Genomic DNA, 26,857 nt, shown 5'->3' on the forward strand with positions numbered 1-26,857 from the left:
ATTGGGCTTCACAGGTAATGCTTTTTTAATAAAACAAATTGAAGGTTTGTGTCAACTCTGCATCAAGCAAGTCTACGGCTCCATTTTTCCAACAGTATGTGCTCACTTCATGTCTCTTTATCATATTCCTGTAATTCTTGTAATGTTTCAAACCTTTTCATTACTGTTATGTCTGTTATAGTGATCTGCAATCCTCGTTCTTTGATGTCACTAAGTGTAATTGTTTTGGAGTACCACAAGCCACATCCATATAAGAGCACGAACTTAAGTGCAATTGTTTTGGAGTACCACGAGCCATGTCCATGTAAGAACATGAACTTAACTGATGAATGCTGAGTGTGTTCTGACTTCTCCACCAACTGGCGGTTCCCTGTCTCTCTCCCTGTCCTCAGGCCTCCATATTCCCTGAGACACAACAATATTGAAATTAGGCCAGTTAACAACTCTACAATGGCCTCTAAGTGTTCAAGAGAAAAGAAGAGTCCCACGTCTCTCACTTTAAATCAAAAGATTAAGCTTAGTGAGGAAGGCATGTCGAAAGCCAAGATAGGCTGTGAATCAAAGGAAAAGCTTTCGGAGGAAATTAAAAGTGTTACTCCAGTGAACACACAAATTATAAGAAAGCAAAACACTGCTGACATGAAGCAAGCCTGAGAGGTCTGGAGAGAAGATGAAACCGGACAAAGCCTAATCCAGAGCAAGGCCCTAATGCTTGTCAATTCCGTTAAGGCTGAGAGAGGTGAGGAAGCTGTACATCAAAAATTGGAAGCTAGCAGAGGCTGGTTCATGAGGTTGAAGGAAAGAAGCCATCTCCATAACGGAAAAGTACAAGGTGAAGCAGCAAGTTCTGATGGAGAAGCTGCAGCAAGTTCTCCAGAAGATCTAGCTGAGATCACTGATAAAGGTGGCTACACTGAACAACAGGTTTTCAGTGTAGATGAAGCAGCCTTCTACTAGAAGAAGATGCCACCTAGAACTTTTGCAGCTAGAGAAGAGAAGTCAATGCCTGGCTTCAACGCCTCAAAGGACAGGCTGGCTCTCTTATTGGGATATGGTGCAGTTGGTGACCTTAAGTTGAAGCTAATGCTCATTTCCCATTCTGCAAATCCTAGACCCTTTAAGAATGTTGCTAAAACTACTCTGCCTTGTGCTTTACAAATGGAACAACAAAGCCTGAATGACAGCACATCTGTTTACAGCATGATTTACTGAATATTTTAAGTCCACCGTGAAGACCTACTACTCAGAAAAAGATTCCTTTCAAAATATTACTGCTCATTGACCAGGTACCTGGCCCCCCAAGAGCTCTGATGGAGCTGTGCAAGGAGATTAATATTGTTCTCATGCCTGCAAACACAATATCCATCCTGTAGCCCATGGATCAAGGTGTCATTTTGACTTTCAAGTCTCATTATTTAAGAAATACATTTCATAAATCTATAGCTGCTATTGATAGTGATTCTTCTGATGGATCTGGGCAAAGTCAATTGAAAACCTTCTGGAAATTATTCCATTCTGTGTGCCATTAAGAATATTCATGATTCATGGGAGGAAGTAAAAATATCAACATTGAAAGGAGGTTAGAAGTTGATTCTAACCAGCTGGGCGTGGTGGCTCACGCCTGTAATCCCAGTACTTTGGGAGGCTGAGGCAGGCGGATCATGAGGTCAGGAGATTGAGACCATCCTGGCCAACATGGTGAAACCCTGTCTCTACTAAAAATACAAAAAATTAGCTGGGCGTGGTGGTGGGCGCCTGTAATCCCAGCTACTTGGGAGGCTGAGCCAGGAGAATGGCTTGAACCTGGGAGGTGGAGGTTACAGTGAGCCAAGATCATGCCACTGCACTCTAGCCTGGTGACAGAGGAAGACTCTGTCTCAAAAAAAAAAAAAAAAGTTGATTTCAACCCTCATGGATGGCTTTGTGGGGTTCAAGACTTCAGTGGAGGAAGTCACTGCAGATGTAGAAATAGCAAGAGAATTAGAATTAGAAATGGAACCTGAAGATGTGACTGAATTGTTTCATTACCATGATAAAACTGTAATGAATGAGGAATTGCCTCTTACAGATGAGCAGAGAAAGCAGTTTCTTGAGATGGAATCTGCTCCTGGTGAAGATGCTTTGAACACTGCTGAAATGACAATACAGGATCTAGAATATTCCATAAACTGAGTGGATAAAGCAGTGCAGGGCTTGAGAGGATTAACTCCAATTTTGAAAGTTCTACTGTGGGTGAAATGCTATCAAACAGCATCACATACTATAGAGAAATCTTTCCTGAAAGGAAGAGTCAGTTGATGTGCCAAACTGCATTGTTGTCTTATTTTCAGAAACTGCCACCGCAACCCCAGCCTTCAGTCCTCCACCACCCTCAACAGTCAATAGCCACGACATTAAGGCAAGACCCTCCCTCCACCAGCTAGAAGATGACAACTCGCTGAAGGCTCAGATGATTGTTAGCATTTCCTAGAAACAGTGTTTTTAAATTAAGGTATGTACTTTTTAGATAGAATGCTATTGCACACTGATTGTACTACAGCATGTTTATAGTTATATAAACATAACTTCTACATGCATTAGGAAACCAAAAACCTTGTGTGACTTGCTTTATTGTGATTTGCTCTGTTGTGGCTGTGGAGCTGAAGCTGCAGTACCTCCAACGCAAGCCTGTATGTTGTTGCCTATACCAAAATAGGCCTGTTATAAACGTTTTTATATTTTATATTTTACGTTAAATTTTTAAGTTGTATATTTTACAGTTGCTTTAAAAAATGATGTAGCAAATCAATGTTTAACATATACAAAAATGATTAAGAAAGACATTTGTAACAGTGCTGGAAAGGTAGATGTTAATTACTTTAAAAATCTGGCTGGGCGCAGTGACTCATGCCTGTAATCCCAGCACTTTGGGATGCCATGGCGGGCAGATCACCTGAGGTCAGGAGTTTGAGACCAGCCTGGCCAACATGGTGAAACCTCGTCTCTATTAAAAATGCAAAAATTAGCTGGGCATGGTGGCGGGCACCTATAATCTCAGCTACTCAGGAGGCTGAAGCAGTAGAACTGCTGGAACCTGGGAGGTGGAGGTTGCAGTGAGCCGAGATCACACCATTGCACTCCAGCCTGGGCCGACAACAGCCAGACTTTGTCTCAAAAAAAAAAAAAAAAAATTTAAAATCCATCAGTAAGTTTCCAATAAAATAGAAAGCATTTAACTACCTCTTCAGTTTACATCAACACCATTTTAATCATCCAGATTAATTTATCAGTTAAAAATAATTCCCAACTTTTTATGGCTACTGAAACAATAGCAACAAAAGGTTGGGGTACATTGTTTCAAGTTTCAGGGGTAAGGAACTAAGAGAGGAACTAAAAAGGGTAGTTCCAGCTCTATGTGGAGGAGGAAGATGAACGAGTAAAACGCTTGTCTACCACAGGAAGAGGGCAGGAGACAATCTTTACAGGTGTGGAGGTTCCCCCAGGAAACCTGAAAGCAGAAGTTGCTAAGAGTGGAAGCTTCTTGGAGGGAGACAGACTATGGGAGAAGTGGAGCAGGGTACTATCACTTTCCATGGAGCCTTGACTGTGGTAATCGATTTTTACCCATGCCATCGCTAAAAACAAATACAAAAAATTAGCTGGGCATGAGGGCGCATGCCTGTAATTCCAGCTACTTTGGAGGCTGAGCTGGGAGGATCACCTGAGCCCAGGGGGTCAAGGCTGCAGTAAGCTACGATTGAGCCACTGCACACCAGCCTGGGTGACACAGTGAGACCCTGTCTGAAAAAAGAGTTATAAAATAAAAAAAAAAATACTGTCATGTGTTTTTATCTCTATTGATGGCAATTATAATAATAATCCCTCATAGCCTGTATACAGCAGAGACTCCCATGAGAGTAGGACTAACTCACGCTAAGAAAATTACATTCCATTGCCTTGCGCTCATGACTTAGTTGCGGGGAATAAAAAGGTAAAAGAAATGGAAAGCTATTGATGGCGATGATGCCACAAGTGTGAGTGAAGCAAGCAACGGAGGATCCCCAGCTTATGTTCCTTCACCTGAACCAAGTGTCTCCACATGAGGACAGGTGGCATGTATGGAGAGACACCAGCACGAGGTCAGGGGTCTGCCACCAACAGACCTCACTGCTTGGGTGAATTTACCTATTCCTTAGCTTTTCCAAAAACAGAACACAAACTTTATTAGTATTTCCAGAGATAACTGGTTTCTCAGTGATGGATTGATTCCAGCCAAATCACAATGCATGATCAGAATGCCATGCGTCAATTCATGATGGAAATAACATCCTTTTCCAGTGCCCAAAATGTTCACGTTGTCTCTCCAAGGCCTCTCATTTCTCAGTATGGAGCTACTAGGAAGCTAAGTCAATGGCCAGACAGTTGCATGTTGAGCACAGAATTCGAGGTGTGTAGACATCGAGTAGATTGGGAGGGCTCTAAGTCTCTTGCCCACTGCACACAGCACTTCGTGGAGAAGGCATCTCCGTGCCCTTACAGACAGTGCTCTGTCGCCTGCCAGCACTGGACACACTCTGGGCCTCCTTTCCTCTGTTCCAATGCTGACCGAGTGCCCTCGTGATGGTACATTCTTTCTTACATGTGTCGGTCACCAATTAAGCTAGGAAGCTGCTTCTAGACAAGAAGCTGTTTCTTTGGCCTTCCATTCTGACGTAATTCAAGTTAAGCCTTTCTTAGAGTCATCTCGTTTCCAAGTCCTTAGGAGTTACCTCATTTTGTCCCCAGTTACAGTCTACACCCTGCTTTAGGCTTCATGGTCATTTGACCTGCCTGGTCCCCACACCCAGCCAGCAGCTGAGCAGCTCCCATCCCCAGGAGCCCACCACCCTGCACAGCTCTGTCCTCTGGATGCCACCACCTGGTCCTCCTCCACATCTGACATCTCCATCTGGGAAGGCCTGCTCTGGCTTGACAGCGTCACAGGGTCCAGGCTTTCTCCCACTGTCCTTCCTCCTCCTTACCCAGAGCTGCGTCTTTAGCTTCCCCATCAGTCATGTCATGGCGTTTCCAATGTTCAGAGAAGTATATGGCCTCGTAGACTAAACCAATGAGAGCTCAAACATTTTCAGACAGTCAACCCTAGACTGTCTGCAATTACTTTTTAAAAATCAATTTGTTTTTCCACTTTGGTTGTGTGAACTAAGTTTCACGGACTTCTGGATTTCTACCCACTGGTGCACCCCCACATCACTGTCCCATCACTGGGGCTCTCAGTGACTTCAGCAGGAGCTCTGTAATGGAAAAATCACGTGAAGACTGTGGTTAGGGTCGTTAGACATTGGGACTAGGACATGTTCTCCCTTTTCAACGTGTAACTTAAGGCTAGGCAGACATAAGAGCAGAAAGTGAGCAGCCCACAGCAAGAGCTGAGGGAGGACAGACAGCACAGACACCAGATGCCAGCTTTGGCAGGGTGGCCGAGGAAACTGATGCCCCTAGTGCTGTCAAGCATGGCAATGAGGTCTGCCTCCTACTTCAGCCACATCGTCTACTTCCAGCCCCCGACTCCACGTGACAATTGGCCCTACCATCCCTTGACCACACCTCCTGGCTGGGGGAGAACTTTCTGAGAAAATTTCAATGTAGAATAAACCAATTCATAAAACTTTTTAAAAATGGGATGTGGAAATATTACAGTTAACGCTCAACAATGACATCGTTAGCACTTGTCTGAGGGGCTAGAGGATGCAAACCAAAACCCAAGAAAAATTACGCCCCTTGAAGTGTGAGCCACCAGTATCTTGACTAAATTAGTTGGCCAAGATAATACCAAAAATTCGTACCAGCTTCATGCAAAAGTGGCTGCTTCTCGCTGTTTTGGTTGACAACGAGCATTAGGACAAGGTTGCTGAGAAGTAACTGTAACACGTGCAGTGCTAGCCGTTCCGGTTTCTCTAGACTATGCTCCACTTACTGACTTCTAAGTAACCTTATTTCATATTTAATAATGAAGGATTTGTGATTACTTACAATTTCAGACACTGGGATTTGGTACAGTTACATGGCTTTTTAGACTTTGTGTCCCATGAACTAAGAGTTACTCTATAAAGATTAAAAAAGAAAATGTATTCAGCTGGTTACTCCTTATATAGAGAATTAGCTAAGCATCTGGTGTTTTTCAACACATTGTGAGAATCTCAACACCAGATCGTTATAGGTATTATTGACAGATGCCTAATCATGAAGTGGGAGTTTCCAATGTGATGGAACTAGCACCACCAAACACAGCCACACATGCCCAGGGAGCCAGTGTGCATGCGGAGCAGGGTCCTAAGGCTCTTCACCCTTCCCAAGATGTCTTCCTGGAGTTCTTCTCCCCCTGACCTATTTAAATCTCTATTTTTTGTGCTCCTCTCCCCACTGAACAGCTCTTTCCCCGCCAAAATCTGAATGCTAATGGGAAGTACAAATTAAAGAACAATAGATGAAGCGTCGTTCATCTTCAGATATACCAGTGCTAAAGCAGTCCACGCTGTAATATTACTAACAATATCAAAGCATGTTAGTAATCACTTAAGTGTGCCATGTGATCATTGGGGACTTTCCTCATTTTAGGAAGGGATTATTACAACTCCCTCCTAACTGCATTTGGCGATTAGCTCAGAAGTCATCTTCAGGGGCATTAGAGAAGAAACAAACTCTTCCTCTAACGTGTCTCTGGGTGTTGCTAAATGTGAGGGCAGCTGCACATTAAACCATCGGGAGAAGTTCCCAAGCATTGCTCAGAAGAGACACTCACCAAGGAGCTCAGAACATTTGCAATGGAAGTGGTTCAATAGGCTGTGATGACAAGGAGGGGCACGTGTACAAAACACCATGTGACAAAAACCAAACTAGATGAATTCTAAACGAATATAGCATTTAATTTAGAATTCTGTGACAGGGCTGTCCCTGTGCCCAGTGGGGGCATGCATCTCTGTCAGTGTGCTCTTTGAGGTCATGTACACAGGCCTCATCTCTGCAACGCACTGGCCACTTCTGAGCAAGGCTGCATCTTAGTCTTGGGTTTTCCCCCAGAGCTAGAACAGCACCTGGCACACAGTCCGTGCTTGCTGTCAGCCTCGCGCCATCTCATGGAACATAGGGGTTGGTAACTAATACAAACGCCCTAAAGAGAGGCAAAGTCTTCGCCCTGTCCTCTGTGCTCCGAGCGCCCGCACGCTCAGCAGTCTTGGCTGGCTGTCGGGGCTGAGGTCAGTTCCAAATCCTCCCCCACTTGGCCTGCCCTCACCTCACTGCTCTGGTCTTCCGCCCCTGCTCTCACCACCTGTGCATCTGTTTAGTGACCCATCCCACTCCCCATGGGAAACAGCTCATGGCACCTGACATGGGGGCAAGCTGCTAACTTTGACTGCTTCTGGAGAGAGCTCCCATTTTAGAGGTAAAGACAATGTTGCTGAATGCTGTATTAATTGAGAATTCATCTAGTTTTGTTTTTCCTTTAGAGACAGAACAGTTACAGCTTTTTGCCCTCATGGGTGCCTAGAGGTGGCAGGTCTAGCTATCCTGCCACCTGGCCTGTCCACCTGTGGGTCAGACCTGGGCCTGTTCAGAGGGGGGGCTCTGACAGCTACTTCACTGCTCTTGCCCTCGGCCCTCTCAGACCTGCCCTGAGCTGGGGCACAGGGTGGCCCGGCACTTCCTGTCCAGAGGAACGAAAACTGTTCTGTTGAGGAAGTGGTGTGGGGGCTTGCGGAGGCAGTCCAGTGGGGACCCACTGTAACTGTGGAGGGAGGGTGACAGGCCCACGAGTATCTACAGAGTCAGGAGGAGGCCGGCAGGCATTTACTATAAATCACTGTGTGGCCAGGACTGTGGTCAGTGCTTCAGGGGACACCAAGGATAACTATCTGTTTAATATACAGTGCCTGTCCTGGAGGAGTCCACCAAGTCAGCAGGGACATGAGACATAGGCAATGGAAACATTAGAGCACAGAAGAGAATAATCAACCAGCACACTGTCCTATACGGACTGTGCACATGGTGCCATATTGACTGTAAATGCCACAGGAACTCAGAATAATCAACCAGCACACTGTGCTACACCGACTGTAAACACTGCAGGAACTCAGAGGCAGCATAGTTCGGCACAGATGGAAGAAGTGAAAACCAAATGCTTTTGAAGGAGGTGGAACTTGACATCAACTTTTAAGGCGGCAAGGTTTCTTCACTATTACTCAACAGGATGACCCAGTTGAAATAACAGCGCCAGTAAAGACACCCATCAGGAATGAGCACGGAGTGCAGGGGCAGTGAGGGCCTCTGACTGCAGTGGACACTAAGTGGAAACTCACTTCCATGGCTCCAGATGGACTGCTCTCTCAGTGCCCATCTAAAAATTAAAGAGTTAGAAGAGATGTGGACAACTCTGCCTCAGAAAAGCATTCTAAACAAACTACACCACAACAAGATAACCTCATCTTTAGGAAAAAAATTTCCAGAGAAGCGGACTCTTGAATATTCTTTATTATGATGTTCATTATGTTACTAAAACCAGTAGCATCAACAATGTGTCAGAATTCACATTTATTACCAGATTGGTAATAGGATTATTAAAGCTACAGAGTGTCAGGACAAGGATTTGTATTAAAGAGTTTTTATTAATATGATAAGCTAGTTAATAAGTTAGCCAGTTCACCCCCCAACCCTAACAAATGACCATCGGGTCAGCTCGCACACTCAGCCTGCTGGCCTCCAGCCTAAGCTGAACTGCTTCTATGGCCTCTATAGGTTAGATATGGCTGAACCACACTGGGCTGACAGTCTTGGTTGGGAACTCACACGGAATGAAATAACCAGCAAAACGTTCTCTGACTGCTTTCTTACCACCAAAAATAAATTGGTAGAGATTCCAGTATATCATCAGTATTGCAGATGTCGAGATAAAAATCATCAGGCCCAATTAAGTGGAGAGGCATTGGATTAAGTAATTATGTGCATAAAAAATACAAATACACATCTCATGTTTTTCCTGGCACACCGTTTACAATAGAGAAATATTTTGTAACATTCAAAATAAAGAAAAACATGTGACTGATTGAAAATAATCTAGTATAGACACAGAAGGAGGAAAAGGAGAGAGGAAGAAGAGCAGGGGGAGGAGAACAAAGAGGAGGAGGAGGGGACGAGAAGAGGAAGGAGGAGGAGGAGAATGGGAAGCCGGGGGAGAGGAAAAGGGGGAAAAGGAGAAATAGCTGCCCTGAAAACGCTGTCATGACTGCTGCTCTGTGCAAATGCCCATCGGCTGCAACACATAGAAGCCTCAGAGGGTGCTGCAACTGGGAGAGCACGCAATTAAAGTATGAGAAGTATCAAATGTCCTTGAATGTTCTAGACACAATACAGCACAGAGGCAATACTATTGACCAGATGCCCCCAGATTACAAGAAAGATGAGTATCTTCAGAACTGTAGCCTTTTAGATCATCCTGTGTAATGTATCAGCAGAATCTGGAAGTAGCTGAAGTCATTTTTGTTTGGTCCAGAAATGTTAACAGCCATGATGAGATGACCAATTACAATCATAGCAACTGCACCCTCACCGATCCATCACACCCAGAGAGTGAAGCAAGCAGCATGGCCCACAGTCTTATTCTGTCCAACTCAGCAAAAGTTGTCAACAGCCTAGGCACAGAATTACAACAGCTGAAAGAGCCACTGCAGAAACTGAAGCAGCGGTGCCCAGGAGCAACCAACGCCCTTCAGCGACCATGAGGGCTGATAGCGTTGATCGGTTCCAGTGTGTTTCCAGATTCACGGCCTTTCATTCCAGCCCCAAACCACTCTCCTCACACTTACCAAGGCCATCACGAAGCCATGCCCGATGGCAGAACTCTGCAGGAGCCTGGAAAGCACTGGAGGCTGCGGGCTGTATCCTGTAAGGTGTTTGACTGCTGTCTCTCAGGCCCAGGGTATGTGTTTGCCTTAGACTGTGGGCCCAAAGAACTCCTGCAGGCAGGCCGGGCACGCCTGTAATCCCAGCACTTTGGGAGGCTGAGATGGGCGGATCATCTGAGGTCAGTATTTCAAGACCAGCCTGGCCAACATGGTAAAACCCAGTCTCTACTAAAAAATACAAAAATTAGCCTGGTATAGTGGTATGCGCCTGTGGTCCCAGCTACTCGGGAGGCTGAGGAAGGAGAATTGCTTGAACCCAGGAGGCGGAGGTTGCAGTGAGCAGAGATCATGCCATTGTATTCCAGCCTGGGTGACAGAGCAAGAGTCCGTCTCAAAAAAACAAAACAAACAAACAAACAAAAAACAAGAAAAAACAAACAAACAAACAAACACCTCTTGGAGGCAGGAATATGCTGATCTCCATAATCAACTACAGGGCTCAACGAATGGAGAGGGTTGCCCAAACCACTGTTAATACATAAATGTTAACCTGATAATTTCAACCAGCTGATTAGTTTAATTAGCAACAATTATAAACACAAGACAGGCAAGAAATAGCAAGATTATAAACACAAGACAGGCAAGAAATAGCAAGATGAGGTCCCAGATAAGTGCAGCCTATGTCCACCTGGAGATGTGAAGACAGATCATGCATTAGCACCTGCCATAGAGCTCGAGCCAACTCAGCATGGAAGGCAGCGGGCGGAGGCAGCTGGAGGGCACTCTGCAGCCCCCCGTTCATGCTGCATGGCTGCCACACCATTATTTCCACGGACGACAGCAAAAAAGAGAGGCCAGTACAGTTTGAATCAACATGGAATGAAGACAAAGAGCTATAAATGGCAACAAGCCTCAGAAACACCAACATAGGACAGCGGACAGGAGGACAGGGACAGATGCAGGTTATGGGCCAGACTTTCCAGCAGCCTTTGCAGCCCCAGTGAAACCAGACACAGACAGCAACACCGTTAGTGGCATTGCTGATGGTAAAAACATTTCTCAGAAGTCATGAAGGTGTGCAGTGAAGCTCATTTTATAGTATAGAAGAAAATCGTGAACGTATCCAAGAGTCTCTTAAATTATTACATTAGAGTGACAATGTATTGCTTCTAATCCTTACCCAGCCAAAGTTATTTTTGGTGGTCCTGGAAGAGTTGATCCCGAGGGGAAAGCAGACCCGTTGACTACCGATGGTAAGGCTCCCTCAAGCTGTTCAAAGTCAAAGGCAAGGATATTTTGAATTAGCAAGGATTTTTAAAGTTCCAGTCAGCCAGCCCCCTAGATAAAAATGATTCTTTTTTTCCCTAAAGGTTTACATCACCATCCCTTTATAACCATGTCTGGCCTTATTACCACAAGGAATCCACTGACATTCGGAAGGTCTAGTGCTGAGGTGTGTCACAGCCTGTCTGGAAGTGTGCAAAGATGTCTGGAAGTGTGCAAAGATGCAGGGCTGGCCTCCACGGGCTGGAGGCCGTCCATAGCTGTCACTCAGCTGGCCAGGGGTATTGTCATGGAACTCCTTTTCATTTTTATAGACTATCAATTATGAAATAAATTTAATGACAAATTTCCATAAACTAGAAATGTTCTTATACAGATCTTGACATTTGAAGTCTTGTTGGCAACCATGATTTTTCATGTATTCAAAAAAATATTTTGTAACCAGTTTTAACAAATTCAAAAGCAATGTCATCATCTCTGCATTGTCCATGTTCTTTGCTTTCCCAGGTCTCATCTTTCTTTATGTTACTCATTAGCATGGCCTGTGGAGGCTGTTCACAGGGAAAGGAACAGGCAGCAAAGCCATCACTGGCCTACTTCTCTTCTACTCAGTAGCTTGAAGAAATTAACAGTACTAAATACAATTAGGTTTTCAGATTATTTGCATATATCACAATTAAACCTCATATCCTTGTCCCTTCCTCTGTCCAAAAATGGAAATGTATCTTTAAATAAATTTATTTTTAAAGCTTTAAGAAGTATAGTCTTAGAAAAAAAATGCGTCTTGTATTCATCCTCTGCACTTCCTCCATTCTGTGCCCAGTTTAAACTGTGTGTCATCACCATCCATTACGGCTGGAAGACACTGAGAAAGCCTCCTGGGTCCCACTGCCTCATTTACAATCAGTCTTAAGTCCCCAGGCTTCTTCCCGGGAAACCCCTTCCTGCTCTCCTCTTGCTCGTGCACAGAAGGGAGTGCTCACAAGGCCCTGAGACAGGTGTCCCTTTTGCCCTCACCTGGACACCTAATTGTTAGGCCCCTGTCTTCAAATGTCAGTCTGAAGAGTTTTGCATTCTTTTGGAGAAAGGATGTCATAGTTCTCAGGATTGAGGCAATTATTCGCATAAACCAGGTAAAATTACTTTTTTTCCCCCTTTGCTTATTTAGCCCCAAAGTAAAGCAGAGACATCTCTTATGTACTCCATAGGTTGTAAATCCAGGGCAACTTTATGCTGGAATCCACGAGTTTCTTCAGCAATGTTTGGTCCTCTTGGAGTGAAGGAAGTCAACTCGGAGGCAGGGCTTCTCAGACTCTGCTGTGTGCACAAGTCACCTGGGGCCTTTATGAAAATGCAAATCTGATTCAGGGGGTCTGAATCCCAGGTTTGGGGTGGAACCTGAGGTTCTGCACTTCTTAACAAGCTCCCAGGTGATCCCAACAGTTCTGGTCCATGGACCACACTTTGGGTGGTAACACTCCAAAGAATATACAGAACTGGGGTCTGGCAAGGAAGCAAACGATTCTCGAGAAGCAGCAAATGCATTGCTAAAAGAATTGTCCTTGAGGTCCATGCTGGATAAGGGGCCAAAATGGGGACGATAATAAACAGTCAAGGAAAGGTGGGGGAAGGTGGGGAGACAGCAAGTTGTGGCCAAATGGGTGTTTCTCATGGAAGATCTTAGAGGTGAAAGAGCAAGTACAATGTGTGCCTTCTGGACTGGTGGCTGAAACAGCAGAGAAAGGAAGGCCAGCAGCGTGGAGGGGGCCAGACGGTAGGAGGATTCTATGAGGTTCCAACACAGACTGCATCTGCGTGCTCGCCAGATCCCGACTTACACTCACCTCCTGCACTGATAACACTCTCTTTTATCTTGGCCAATGTATCACTTGAGAAGTATTTACTCACTCATTCAACAAATATCTAATTCAATTTACACTCACTTCCTTTGAGATCTCATCTATTCATATGGCTTTCAACGCCATCTATACACTAGGACTCCCAATCTCATCCCTCCTGCCCAGCCCTTCCTCACTCTAAACTCCTACGCAACATCTTCTGAGGCATCCCAAATTTAATATATCCAAACGGAACTCCTGGACGCCTTTGAAAAACTTGTACCATCTCATCTTTGTTGATGGAAACTCCATCTCTCCAATCATCCAGGCTGAAAACCTTGGGCGCATCCTTGACTCCTCTCTTTCTCTCACATCCCACATCCAATCCATCAGCAAATCCTGTTGACTCAACCTTCAAAGTATCCCTAGAAGCTATTTCTTGCCACCTCCACTGCCACCACCTGATCTGAGCGATCATCTCTCCCCGAGATTATTGCCATAACAGGCTCACCGTTCTCCTTGACCCCTCCTCCCCACCAGCCCCTCTTTAGAGTGGAAGCCATAATCCTCCCAGTGCCTTGACTTCCTCCCTGCCCTGCTCCCCTAGCTCACACTATCCCAGGCCCAGTGGCCTCCTCGCTGCCACCACAGCAGGCATGACCCTATCCAAGGCCCGCCTGGGATGTTCCACAGCTTGCTTCACAGAGCTCATTCCCTCATCTCTTTAAAGGCTTTGCTCAAATGTCACCTTCACAACGGAGCCATGATCACCTTTTTTAAACCTGCAACTAGGCTTTTTCCCCATCAAATCCCCATCCCCCCAATCCGCTTCCTCTGCTCTCCTAACAGATGATGTAATTGGCTTCCTATTAGATTTGCTAATTGTCTATCTCCTGCAGTAAAATGTAAGCTGCAGGAGGGCGGAGTTGTGTGTTTTGTTTTCTGAGGTTCACTTACCTCACAGATCAGTGCCTGCCCTTATTGAAGGGTGAGTGGGTGCCCTACATGGGCCAGGCTTTGTGCTGATTCTCATTTTACAGAGATGAACGAGACACATATGGCCTCTGCCCCTATGGAGCCTGCATTCTTGTGGGTGGATGCAGACAAACCAACCAACCACAAAACGCAAGCCAGTGAGAGTGCCATGCAGAGCAGGAGACAGCACTGTGACTGTGGCTGGACGTCTACGCTGGGGAGTTAGGGAAGGCTCTTCCGGGGAGGTGACACTTCATACCAAAACTCGGGAAAAAGAGCGTATTTGTCCTCTACTTTTATGTAATATACACATATCATGGTGTAATCATAAAAGCAAACTTTAAAAAAGTATTTCCATAACACTGAGGAGGGTGAGGAGCGTTCTGGACCGAGGAGGTGGAATATGCTGTTGGTGGGGTCACAGAGGACAAGTTAGCAAGCGTGGCAGAATGCCGGTCTGGAGGCTGCAGGAAAGGGCAAAAGGGCTTCATCAAGTTGGTGAAGAATAACTGTGTCCGAGACTGACTCCAGCCCACAGTGTCTGACACAGTGGGGCAGGGACTGAACACTTGGTAAGTATTTCACTTTGACTTTTAAATGGAAAATAAATTATATTTCCTGAGTAATTCCAACCATAACAATCAAAATTTTAAGAGACAATAATGCAAAATTGTATTTTTTAAATTAAAACAATGACTCACTTGTTGTGTAATGAGATTTAATTTTGTTGATGCTGGCAAAAATCTCCCTACTAAAGCAGTCATTGGTTTAGGGACATCTGTAAGGAAGATAATTAAAAATTAATTGTAGCATCTATCGTTCCTCTTCCACTTACACGTGGATGAAAGTACAAAAGTCTGTTATGGACATGTCCTGTGCAAAGTTATTTCAACTTATCTTGATGCTAGTTACGCATTTTATTCTCTAAAACCTTTCAAGTCAGTATTTTACTTAATATACTCATTTTTCTTTTCTTTTTTGGGGAGATGGTCATAAAGCTACTTGATCTGAGCTTCCAGGGTTGCTCTACTAGGCTAAAACAATGTTGTTAGTGCTCTGGTTCCCAAATTGTGTGCCAAGGTGCCCTGCATAGCCACAGCAAACTCACTAGGAAAAAAAATGTTTGAGATAGGGTCTCGCTATGTTGCGAGGCTGGCTTCAAACTCCCGGGCTCAAGCAATCCTCCTGCCTCAGCCTCCTAAGTAGCTGAGCCTATAGGCATACCCAGCTTCGCTGGATATTTTATGTTTTCTTTTTTTTTTTTCTTTTTGCTTTTTTGAGATAGGATCTTGCTCTGTTGCCCAGGCTGGAGTGCAGTGGCACTACCACGGTTCACTGCAGCCTTGACCCCCCTAGGCTCAAGTGATCCTCCTGCCTCACCCTCCCACGTAGCTGAGACTACAGGCCTGTGCCACCATGCCTGGCTAATGTTTTCATTTTTTGTAGAGACAGGATCTTGCCACATTGACCAGACTGGTCTTCAACTACTGGGCTCGAGCAATCCTCCGGCCTGGCCTCACAAAGTGCTGAGATTACAGGCGTGAGCCAGCACTCCAGGCTGGTATTTTATGATTTTAAAGAAAGCCCAGGGACATCTATTGGATACCACAGGAACTACTTTTTTTTTTTTTTTTTTTTTTGAGACAGGGTCTCACTTTGTCACCCAGGCTAGAGTGCAGTAGTGCGATGTTGGCTCACTGCAGCCTCAGCCTCAACCTTCTGGCCTCAAGCAATTCTCTCACCTCAGCCCCCCAGTCAACTGGGACAACAGGTGCACACCACCAAGCCCAGCTCATTTTTTTTTGTATTTCTTGTAGAGACAGGGTTTCGCCATGGTACCCAGGCTGGTCTTGAACTCCTGAGCTCAAGTGATTCACCTGCCTCAGCCTCCCAAAGTGCTAGGATTATAGGCGTGAGCCACGGCAGCCAGCACTACTTTCGATTTATGTGTATTTTTTTTTCAAGTGGTTACTAAGTTGTTTGGATATAAATACTTACTAAGCTATTTAGACTAAACTACTTAGTACTGGAACTGATAGGTACTTATTTGGTCTACAAGTGCCATGAAAAACATTCTTGAGACACTAAGGGTGTGTAAGCCTCTGTGCTCATGAGTTCAAGTAGAAGCACCTGAACACTTTTTCTCCTCCAGGCCTAGGCATCCTTTGAGTGAGGAATCTCAGACGCAGGCAGCAGGATGCACGTACTTTATTGTGATGTTTAATATGTGCACAGTGTAACAAAGGAGATGCAGGTGGGGGGAGTATGATTATATGATAAGGAACTTGAACTGGAAAACACTATATAAACTCTCTCCTCCTGCAGACCTTAAGGCACTAGGATTTTGTCATGTGCCAGGAGGAAGGGGAGCAGGAAAGACCTTCTCCCTGCCTGTAGAGATCAGAGATGCAGCATGAACCTATAGGAGATGAGGCCAAAGCTCCAACCTCAGCTTCTTCACTGTGAAAAGAGTCAATGTCTTGAGGATATTTATTCTGTCCCTGGACAGGGAGACAATCAGGATGCAATGGGGAGACAGGGAGTCACGCTTTGTCTTTTTGCCCTGGACTTCAAAGGCCAGTGAAACTACATCTGGATTTGCTATTAGTTTCAAGTTATAGGCAAGGTCAGTGAATCACCTGACAGTGAATATTCTCTCGTTAACTCAAGATCTAGGGTAATGTGATTACGTGCAGTCCCCATAGAGAGGCCTAATTTTCAAGAATTAGCATCTCACTTTTGTTAAACACAATCCTAAAATACGTCATTTACTCTTTCTCTAATCATGCATAAGGAATTTCAGAACAATCAAGTACTTACAGGTCATTTCTTATTATTGTGCCAGGTTAAAAAAGTTTCTTAGTCAGGTAAGAATGAATTTCTTAGAATGAATGTCAGACAAATCCTTTGTTATTTCAGAACTCATGGTGATTAAAGCAGAATGATAGTTCTCATTGATTACACTGAAATGTTTACATTAAAATGTAGGTGTTTACACCACACCTGAAGTCAACCCATCAGGTCAGTCTGGGAAAGGCTGATATTTCAATCTAGGCACATCGAGGCACCTATTTGTGGAATTCCTACCAATGCAGTGTCGGTCTGAGTCATCACCTGTTAGGATCACAAAGCTCTCAGCAGCTAGGTGACATGAGGGACAGCTATCCAAGAATTTGAGACAGTCAGTACAGGGTACAAAAATTAGTCTATAGATATACATTTTTATATTCTTAGCTTACTAATATGGACTACGAGGTTTGCCAAATTTCCTATTTAATATCCTGGTTGCCATTTCACTTTATATACAAAGCCAAACATATTCATTTACCAACTTACATATATGACATAGTTTTTTTTATTAATTAACTTTGTACCTGACTGTAGATAATTATTTTGATCTTGATACTGAGGAACCAAATGGAGTGCTTTTAGTTCTCTTGTTCTAGAATTGTCTATACATAGCATTTGTGTGCCCCCTTTCAATTGGCATATCACCTAAAATGAAAAAGAACAATCAGGTTTCATTTTTGAAACATAATTCCAGTAATAATGAACCTAAATAAACTTAAATCTGAGAAAATAGCTTTAATCCAGAAGTTACATTTTAATGGAAGATAGAAAACTATAGATCTGTTTTCGATTTCTTACTCTACACTAACATGCTCTTTGGAGACACCAAAGGGCAAAAAAAAAAAAAAAAAAAAGAAAAACCCAGAAATGTTTCCTGAGATGCGTCCAGTGTGTGAACAGAAAAAAGTTCCTGTGCCTGGCTTTCTCCACAGGTGTCTGATTTAGTTGGGGATCAGGTAGCCATGCCCCAGAGCTTCCTTTGTCCTGTCCTCACTCCACCATTGACATGAGCAGAAGAGGGTGCTGCTCCGCTAAGCCCCAGCCCATTCAGCCCCAGTGGGCACTGAGGCCCTGGCGGCATGTCCCTGAGTCCCTGGGCACGCACTTAAAATCCTCTCTAATTTTACTCCAACTGTCCTTTCCTGCCACACACATGTCATTATTTAACACATGGGGTTTTAAAAACACATCTATTTTATTTCCTACAAGTACAGCTTAGAAAGGTTAGTCCAAGAACTATAAAGTTCTAAGAAGCCACACTGATCTGCTTGGGCCTGAGCAGCACTGTCAGACCCCCCTTGGATACTGACCATAAATAAATGGTCGCAAGCCGGGTGGGTCTGCCAGTCCATCCCATCAGTCAAGCAAAAGCACTGAGGGAACTGTGTGCCCAGCCCTGCTTCAGGCTGTGGCATGTGGGGATAGAAAGGCGAGAGATGCTGTGGCTTCTGCCTGGACACAGCTTCCAATTCTGCTGGCAGAACCACAACTACACAGAGCAGCTGTGCTTTATACACTTAAGTTGCTTATAATCTAGATAAGAGAACCCAAAGAACCATAAAGGACCAATGTTATCAAAGTAATACACATTGGACCTACTATGGTCATTGGATCAATATTCCACATCATCCTGACATCTGATGAGAGGCCAGCATTCATGTTCAATTGGAGTTGTATTTGTATTTGGAGGATAAAGTTATAGCTACACACACACACACACACACACACAGGAAAGGCTCAGAGTGAACTCTGCAGACCTGCCTCTACTGCACACTCCTGGGCCCTATCCACATGGGAGCCTTGGCTCTGCCCTCTGGGGAAATGTGCTAACATCACTCTGCAGTCTTGGGGAGTCGGAGAGTTCTCATCCTGCTGACCTGCTTTTAGGGTCCTAGAAAAACTGCTATCAGAACCCACAGCCCCAAATAGAACCACCGATGGAGAGGCTAATGTTAGTGTACACCACAGCTAAACCAAACTCATGACAGGCTCATTTTCAAGTATTTGCTTGTTAACGTCTATGCCTTACAGCAAGGGCCTCATTTCTAGGAATAAAGAATTGCTGGGGGAAAGGCAATGATCGGTTCTTGGACTCTGGGTGCTTTGCTAAGGGAATGCTGTGGGCGACACTCTCCCCATTCCTAGTCCTTGCCACGTGAGATCTGGAGTCCCAGATGCACCACTTAATTATGAAGACCAATGTAGATGATGTAACATCTCTGTTTCTTACCCATAAAGTGGGGATAAAAAGAATGCCTATCCTACAGAGTTGTTAGGAGGATTAAATAAAGGTGCAAAAATATGACATAAACCACAGCTGTGACTGATTACGTACCCTATACAAGCGTTACCTGTTATCATGAGAGATTGGGACACGAAGGAAGCAGGCTCTGCCCTGAAGCCACAGGACCGTGCCCCACACCAATATGCCAAACCATGAGGCTCAGCTGCAGTCCCTGACCCCAGCACTGCACTAACTGATGTGATTTGTGCTTGCTCTCCTTAATGAATACAGCAATGTCCTCATCTTTGTTCAATTTGCTAAGATGGAGTAGAAATGAGAATCTTAGAGGTGAGATGTGAAAGGCTCATGTCCCTGTTTTGCTAATGAGACAACCAAAAATCCTGATACAATACATACGTGAAATGAAAAACGAGTGAAATGATCAGTCGACTTAGTAATGATGGGGTCCAGCATTTAGTATAATGTTAGTCCTACACATCTTCTTTAGCATAATTACCATTGGGTTGGAATCTTTCTTAAGAGAACAGCAGGAGGCATCCTCTAGTTCCTGGGACGATGGGAACTTGCAACAGGATTCCTGAGCAAGAAGATTCTGCAAAGTTGCTTCTTCCGGATTATTACTTGTAGTAGTACCACCTGCTTCCTTGATTTCAACCTAGAAAAAAGCAATAATTATTTTAGAGAACACATGGTGGACACTGGCTCTTGCAGTTGCATAATTTAGAAAATTGAAATCTCAGTGATAAGTAGAAGTTATGGTGAAACCCTGTCTCTACTAGGCATGGTGGCACACTCCCAGCTACCGGAGAGGTTGAGGCAGGAGAACTGCTTGAACCTGGGAGGCGGAGGTTGCTGTGAGCTGAGACAGTGCCATTGCATTCCAGCCCAGCCCCATCACACATTCTTCCAGCATGCTCAGTAGTTTGAATTAGATGTTCTAGTCAATTGTTTTTTCCTCAAAAAGCCCCAAATCCTTGGTAACGTTTTAATATTATTTATGATGTGTTTATAGGAAGATTTGTAATTAGGTAGTAGCCCTTTCCTGCCTTAATAGTAGGACAACAAACATGAAATGGTGGAGAGTAGGGAGTGGCTGCCAGCTTTGTGTTCAAGCTGTCTTCTGTAACAACTGTCAACCCGATGACAAAATTACCAAAGATATGGAGAAATACAGGGATAATACTGAAAATCAATAGAATTTTTAAAAGTAAGAATCCTCGTGGTTAAAAAAAAATTACAATCAGGATTGTTTCAACATTGGGATGCTGCTTTTTACAATCTGTAGGAATGTGAGGAGGACTGGGAAACCCACGCTTTGCATCCTCCCCTCCCCTCCTCCTCCACCTACACTTGCCCGAGCTGCCTGGACCAGAGGACAGTGGGGCTCCCCAAAGGCCAGGAGGCAGGCCACAGAGCCCTTCCAAAAAGATGGTGGCTCTAAGGTAACATACTGAAGACCTCAAATAAAAATCACAGAGCAGGTATCTTTCAAAATGCAGATAGTGACTCAAATTGGAGCTTGTCCAGCCCAATAAAATCAGAGGCCCAAACAAATCATATTTCCCATGTATGGGCAAATCACTCAGCACAGCAGACTAGCATCTAGGTATAAATCTTAAAAGAGATAAAGTTTAGCTATATTTTAAGTAGCTTTATTTAGAAATTTTAAATTTCATATAAATACACATAAAATTTTCTTCTACTTGCTGCTTTGGGGGATGTGCTATGCACGTCATCCCAGTTTAGATTTAACTTATCTCCCTGTAATCAACAAATACTACTATAATAAATATATCATTTCCTCAGACCTATGCAACTAATATCTGAACTACTTATACTAAAATTCCATTTCTGACCTTTCAAAACAAAGGTCAACATGTGGGAATGAATTTCTAGAAGAAGGAAATTAGCAACTGATCCTGAATATTTACTGAAAATAATTCCATTCTGTTTAAACGATAAACATGTCTGTGCTGTATCTGGTCCATTTTATTAATGAATCAGAAAGCAGTCAATAAAAATTTAAAAAGCAAAGTCTCTCCTTTAGTTTGTCAGACCAGCAATCTCTTAAAATTGGATTAAAGAGAATTTTACTATCTTTAACATCAGAGAATTCTCTTGTGTGTGTTTTGTTTGTTTTTTAAGACAGGGTCTCACTCTGTCGCTCAGGCTGGAGTGCAGTGGTGCAATCTCGGCTCACTGCAGCCTTCGCCTCCCAGGTTCAAGCAATTCTCCTGCCTCAGCCTCCCGAGTAGCTGGGATTACAGGTGTGCGCCACCACACCCGGTTAATTTTTGTATTATCTTCCCTGTTCTGATTAATGCTTTCTGACTCCACTCTGTGAGGAAATGAGCCGAGCTAGGACCTACGGGCAGGAGGCGCTGGACACCAATCCGGCTGGGCAGCAAAATGCAGTTCTTAACATTTCAAGCCCTCTGAGAAAGGCTGTGAGAAAGACCTCTGTCCTGGGAAACGGCTGGGGGAACTGGTGAGCTCTATGGCTCCTCTGAGGACAAACAGAGGTCAGTGGAGGCCCCAGCCTCTGCCCATCCTTTTCCTGTACACTAAGGACTGGCAATTACCATAACAGAAAACCGGAAGAGCAGAAATCCAAGCTCCTGCTGCTCTGGCTTATGATACAGGGTCAGGCTCCAGCCATCTCAATACTGACTCAAGCATTGTGTCCCACAAACGCTTCATCTACAACTTACTAAAATGACCTCATGGATGAGTGGTCTCGTTTTCTGAGCTGGGTCCTTTTTGAGGGGTCGAGAACACATTTTCCTGGGACCCTTTGTTTCCTTTGAAAACTCATTAGTTTTGGCAAGAACAAAGCGGAAAATTATCAGCGGTCATCTACAGCTAGAGAGGGCAGTCGGCTGAGAGCTGGCAAGCATTTCTTTAGGCTCTGATTTACATTGCATATGCTTGAAGAGCTATTACTCATTAGCAAAGGGAAGATCTCACATCTTGACTTCAAGGCCCGGAAAATCCAAGTATTAACTCTGAGTCCTTGCTGTGGATTCCAAGCCTGGTAAAGTTAAAGGAAAAAAAAAATGCAAGATGCAAACACGCCAACCCTCCACCACATTGCGTTTGTTTTCACAGACAATAGTTACCAGCAGACAGCGGGCCTCTCTCCTTAAGCCAAGGATAGCAACAGGGCCCAAGGGAACCTACGTCCTAGCTTTCCCCCTTTTTTTGTTGTCCGCCGTCTGCATGGTTAGGTCAGCTTTGGACGACTGGTGCAGGGCAGAATTCCCTCCAGGGGAAAGGGCTTGGCTGGGCCGATGCATGTTGGATTAGGAAGACGACAAAGAGTATACGCTCTACCGAGAATCAGTGACTCCGGTGGGCTGTGTGTGGTGTCACCAGGGAAAATGCTTGTAGAGGGAAATCCTGGGGTACACTAGCAGCCTCAGATGGGTTGGGGAAGGGATGGAGGGGGAGCTGTGCCCATTCCCCAGGCGGTTCTTACTGGGATCATGCGGACGCCCGGGTGGGAGGCTCCTTCCAGGACCCAGGCGCCCAGGGGCAACACCGCCGGGCTGCGGTGCGCGGGTAGCAGCGAGGACAGGAAGTGCACGTTGCAGGCGGGCGGCTGCGGGGCCTGCAGGAGCGCGACGTCCTCCAGCGCGCTGAGCTCTGGGATCCCGGGGTACTCCCCGAGGAGCTCCCCGCCGTCGCTGTCGCCCCCCGCGAGCTTCGCCTTGACCTGGCCCTTGCAGTCGGCGCCCAGCGCGGGGTTGAACGCGTGCAGGACGGGTTCCTTGGGGTCCGCCGGGCCCAGGTACGCTTCTTTGAAGACGTGGAACTCGTCCTCCTCGTACTTCACGGGGGCCTTCAGGCCGATGTTCTCCGAAGCGAACGGACCCTCGGGGCTTAAGAGCTCCGTCACCATCGCATCCTCGGGGCTGGGCAGCCCGCCCGGCAGAGGGCCCTCCTCCATGGCGCAGGGCGGCGGGGCGGGATGGCGGGGGCCGCGCACCTGCAACACGCGGCCAGGTGAGAGGCAGCCAGAGGAGAGGACGAGGGGAGGGGCGGCCAGGAAAGGGGACAGCCAAGGGAGGGGCAGCCAAGGGAGGGGCGGCCAGGGGAGGGGACCAGGTGAGGGGCGGCTAGGGGAGGGGGCGGCCTGGTGAGGGAGGGCCAGGTGAGGGGCCCGGGGAAGGGCGACCAGGTGAGGGGGTCAGGGGAGGGGCGACCAGATGAGGGGCGATTAGGTGAGGGGCGGCCAGGTGAGGGGCGGCCAGGTGAGGAGCGACCAGGGGAGGCGGTCAGGTGAGCGGCGACCAGGGGAGGGGCGGCCGGGGAGGGGGTCACGGGAGGGGCGACCAGGGGAGGGGCGGCCAGGGGAGGGGGCCAGGTGAGGGGCGGCCAGGTGAGGAGCGACCAGGGGAGGGAGTCAGGGGAGGGGCGACCAGGTAAGGGGCGGCCAGGAGAGGGGCCGGCCGGGGTGGGGGTCAGGTGAGGGGCGCCCAGGGGAGGGGGCCAGGTGAGGGGCGGCCGAGGAGGGGGTCAGGTGAGGAGCAGCCAGGGGAGGGGGGGCCAGGTGAGGTGCGACCAGGTGAGGGGCGGCCTCGCCCACGGCCCGCCGCCCTCCGCCCACCCGCAGGGGCCCGACCCGGCCCGGCAGCCCCCATCCCCGCCTGCAGAGCCGAGGCCCAGCCCGGGGACCGCCCCGTCATTCCTCCTCGGAGGGACGCACCTGGGGCCGCCGGGGCTGCCGCAGCGTGGAGCGAGCGGGATGGGGCGTGGGCCGGGCCTCAGGCGCAGGCGGCCGTTGGCGGTTGGAGAAGGGGGAAGGGTGAGGGACAGGAACCTGGGGGGAGGGGAAGAGGCGCCCGGGCAGTGGGCGGGGCCTGGGCGTGGGGCGGAGTCGAGGTCGGGGCGGGGAGGTAAAGGCGGGGCCAGGGAGGTGTGGTGGGCGTGGTCTGGGGCGGGAGGAGACAGAGTCGCGAGGGGCGGGGCCTGGACTGCCGCTGTTGCCAGAGCGGGTCAGGGGAGGCACTCCCAGGTTCAGCCGATCCAGGCTCAGGTGGGGAAACTGAGGTCCCCATCAACTCGGGCAGCGCTAAGTGGGACTGCCTAGCTTGGCTTCTGACCTTGGGCTTCAGTTATATTTTTCTGGCCAGGCGTGGTTGCTCACGCCTGTAGTCCCAGCACTTTGGGAGGCCGAGGCAGGCGGATTACTTGAGGTCAGGAGTTCAAAACCAGCCTGGGCAACATGGTGAAACCCCGTCTCTACTAAAAATACAAAAATTAGCTGGCCGTGGTGGCACGCGCCTGTAATCCCAGCTACTTGGAAGGCTGAGGCAGGAGAATCGCTTGAGCCCGGGAGGTGGAGGTTGCAGTGAGCCGAGATCCCGCCACTGCACTCCAGCCTGTGCCACAGAGCTAGACTCCGTCTCAAAAAAATAAATAAAATAAAATAAAACATTTTTCTACACTCGAGCTCTCAAGACAGATCCCGGCCTGGGACGCTGCGGGTGGACAGAGGGCAGGGGCTTGCACCGCACGTTCCCAGCCTTGCACCCACTCCCGGTCCTTGGTGACGCAGCTTACAGGTGCAACTGATGGAGTTGGTCCCGAAATAGAAGTAACAAATACGGCTGGGCGTGGTGGCTCACGTCTGTAATCCCAGCACTTTGGGAGGCCGAGGCGGGTGGATCACCTGAGGTCAGGAGTTCGAGACCAGCCTGGCCAACATATAGTGAAACTCCGTCTCTACTAAAAAATACAAAAACTAGCTGGGCGTAGTGGCGCACGCCTGTAGTCCCAGCTACATAGAAGGCTGAGGCTTGAACCTGGGAGATGGGGGTTGCAGTGAGCTGAGATTGTGTCACTGTACTCCAGCCTGACCAACAGAGAAAGGCTCCCTCTCAGAAAAAAAAAAAAAAACTCACAAATACAATGAAAGTCTCAAATTTTGGGTGGGGAATGAGCTATTTCATCTTTAAGGAGTCAATAGATATCACTGTTTAATCAAGAGGAGGTGAAAGTTTAATTCAAGTGATGGCGAAAACTGCAAAGGGTGTAGAGGGACTGGTGGGAGTGGGTGCTGGGGAGACAGCCTCAGGTACTGTCTACTCAGGTACTGTTTTGGTAAAAATAAAGAATGTAAAACATCAGCTTTCTAATCTCACTTTTAAAAATTAAATACTTTTCTAAATTTTTAAAGGGTAGTACCCAAGGCACAGCAACACCGTGTACTATTTAGTTGTACATTTAACATTCAAAAATCAAGAAAATTTTGCCTGGGGCTGGGCGTGGTGGCTCATGCCTGTAATCCCAGCACTCTGGGAGGCCAAGGTGGTCAGATCACTTAAAGTCAGGAGTTCAAGACCAGCCTGACTAACATGGTGAAACCCTGTCTCTACTAAAAATACAAAATTAGCTAGGCATGGTGGTGCACACCTGCAATCCCAGCTATTTGTGAGGCTGAGGCAGGAGAATTGCTTGAACCTGGGAGGCGGAGGTTGCAGTGAGCTGAGATTGCACCATTGTACTTTAGCCTGGGCAAAAAGATTGAAACTCCATCTCAAAAATCAAACAAACAAAAACAACAACAACAAAAAACACTCACAGAAGCAGAAAAAATAATAAAAATAATAAATCGAAGAGCCCAAGAATTATGCATAGCTTGAGTGGCCCAAGCGAGAGAGTAACCCACAAGGTTGCACCGTTCATTCGTTTACTAATCAGAATCAGACGTCTACTGAGTAGCATCATGCCAGGCATACACAGCCACCTGTGGGGGTCACCCACGGGTTGCAATCAAGCCTGGAGGCTCTGCACCTGCTGCTCCTAGATGCTTGCTGCCCTGCTGCACTGGCCGGGCTGGCTCCGTCGAGTCTCTCAGGTCTCAGCTCAACCCACTCTAAGTGGGTCAACCTCCCTGCCAGCTACCACCCCCTCCCAATGATCCTCTTAGTTGCCTCAGAACACTTAAAATCCTTCAACTGGTTGGCTTGTTCTCTTTTTCCTCTGTGATATGGTTTGGCTCTGTGTCCCCACCCAAATCTCATCTTGAATTGTAATCCCTCTGTGTCAAGGGAGGGGCCTGGTGGGAGGTGATTGGATCAAGGAGGCGGTTCCCCTACGCTGTTCTTGCAATAAGAAGTGAGTTCTCACAAGATCTGATGGCTTAAAAGTGTTCGGCAATTCCCCCTCACTCTCTCTCCTCTGCTGCCATGTAACAGGTTTCTTGCTTCCCCTTCACCTTCTGCCATGATTATAAGTTTCCTGAGGCCTCCCCAGCCATGCTGAACTGTGAGTCAATTGACTGTCTTTCCTTTATACTTACCCAGTCTCAAGAAGTTCTTTACAGCAATGTAAAAATGGACTAATGAGACAGCCAGAACCTGGTGGGGTCACTGCTGTCTCCCCAGTGCCTAGAACAGGCGCTGATATGGTTTGGATGTGTGTCCCCACCCAAATCTCAGGTTCAGTGGTAATCCCTAATGTTGGAGGTGGGGCCTGATGGGAAGTGACTGGATCATGGGCGTGCATTTCTCATGAACAGCACCATCCCTCTTGCTACTGTCCTCACCATAGAGTGCGTGAGTTCCTGTGAGATCTGGTTGTTCGCAAGTGTGTAAGAGAGCACCTCCTCTCTCTCTCTCAGATCTGGTTGTTTGCAAATGTGTAAGAGAGCACCTCCTCTCTTTCTCTCTCTGTCTCCTTTCACCATGTAGAATGCCTGCTCCCCCTTTGCCTTCCACCATGAGTAAAAAGCTGTTTGAGGCCTCCCCAGAAGCAGATGCCTCCATGCTTCCTGTATAGCCTGC

The 26,857-nt window shown here is 46.7% G+C and overlaps 1 protein-coding gene across 10 annotated transcripts in view, besides 3 other annotated features; it reads right to left on the reverse strand.

Annotated features, from left to right (window-relative positions):
- The window catches only part of TESMIN (testis expressed metallothionein like protein), a 46,725-nt gene extending 22,849 nt beyond the window's left edge, over window positions 1–23,876 (reverse strand). For 3 of the 10 annotated variants that reach the window (XM_017018588.2, XM_047427921.1, XM_047427924.1), the window contains exons 1-4: window positions 23,776–23,876; window positions 22,546–23,055; window positions 19,564–19,722; window positions 11,056–11,144 (exon numbers count right to left, since the gene is read on the reverse strand). In XM_017018588.2, coding sequence (XP_016874077.1) covers window positions 11,056–11,144; window positions 19,564–19,722; window positions 22,546–23,016 — 719 coding nt within the window. In that variant the 5' untranslated portion in view covers window positions 23,017–23,055; window positions 23,776–23,876. Of the gene's footprint in view, window positions 1–8,487; window positions 11,145–14,673; window positions 14,751–17,346; window positions 17,468–19,563; window positions 19,723–22,545; window positions 23,056–23,775 lie in introns of those variants that run through there. The other 7 variants (XM_011545402.2, NM_004923.3, XR_007062529.1 and 4 more) reach the window with 6 other exon arrangements.
- Window positions 23,003–23,988: an enhancer, noted in NCBI's record as "H3K27ac-H3K4me1 hESC enhancer chr11:68518115-68519100 (GRCh37/hg19 assembly coordinates)". NCBI's record gives its function as "activates a minimal SCP1, AML or CMV promoter by ChIP-STARR-seq in primed H9 embryonic stem cells {active_cell/tissue: H9 hESC(primed)}" and the evidence as "EXISTENCE:reporter gene assay evidence [ECO:0000049][PMID:30033119]".
- Window positions 23,689–23,978: a silencer, noted in NCBI's record as "silent region_3677". NCBI's record gives its function as "represses an Ori minimal core promoter by ATAC-STARR-seq in GM12878 lymphoblastoid cells {active_cell/tissue: GM12878}" and the evidence as "EXISTENCE:reporter gene assay evidence [ECO:0000049][PMID:35858748]".
- Window positions 23,989–24,108: a silencer, noted in NCBI's record as "silent region_3678". NCBI's record gives its function as "represses an Ori minimal core promoter by ATAC-STARR-seq in GM12878 lymphoblastoid cells {active_cell/tissue: GM12878}" and the evidence as "EXISTENCE:reporter gene assay evidence [ECO:0000049][PMID:35858748]".

The sequence above is a fragment of the Homo sapiens genome, chromosome 11 (genome assembly GCF_000001405.40).
Source record: "Homo sapiens chromosome 11, GRCh38.p14 Primary Assembly".
In the NCBI taxonomy this organism is placed as follows: domain Eukaryota; kingdom Metazoa; phylum Chordata; class Mammalia; order Primates; family Hominidae; genus Homo; species Homo sapiens.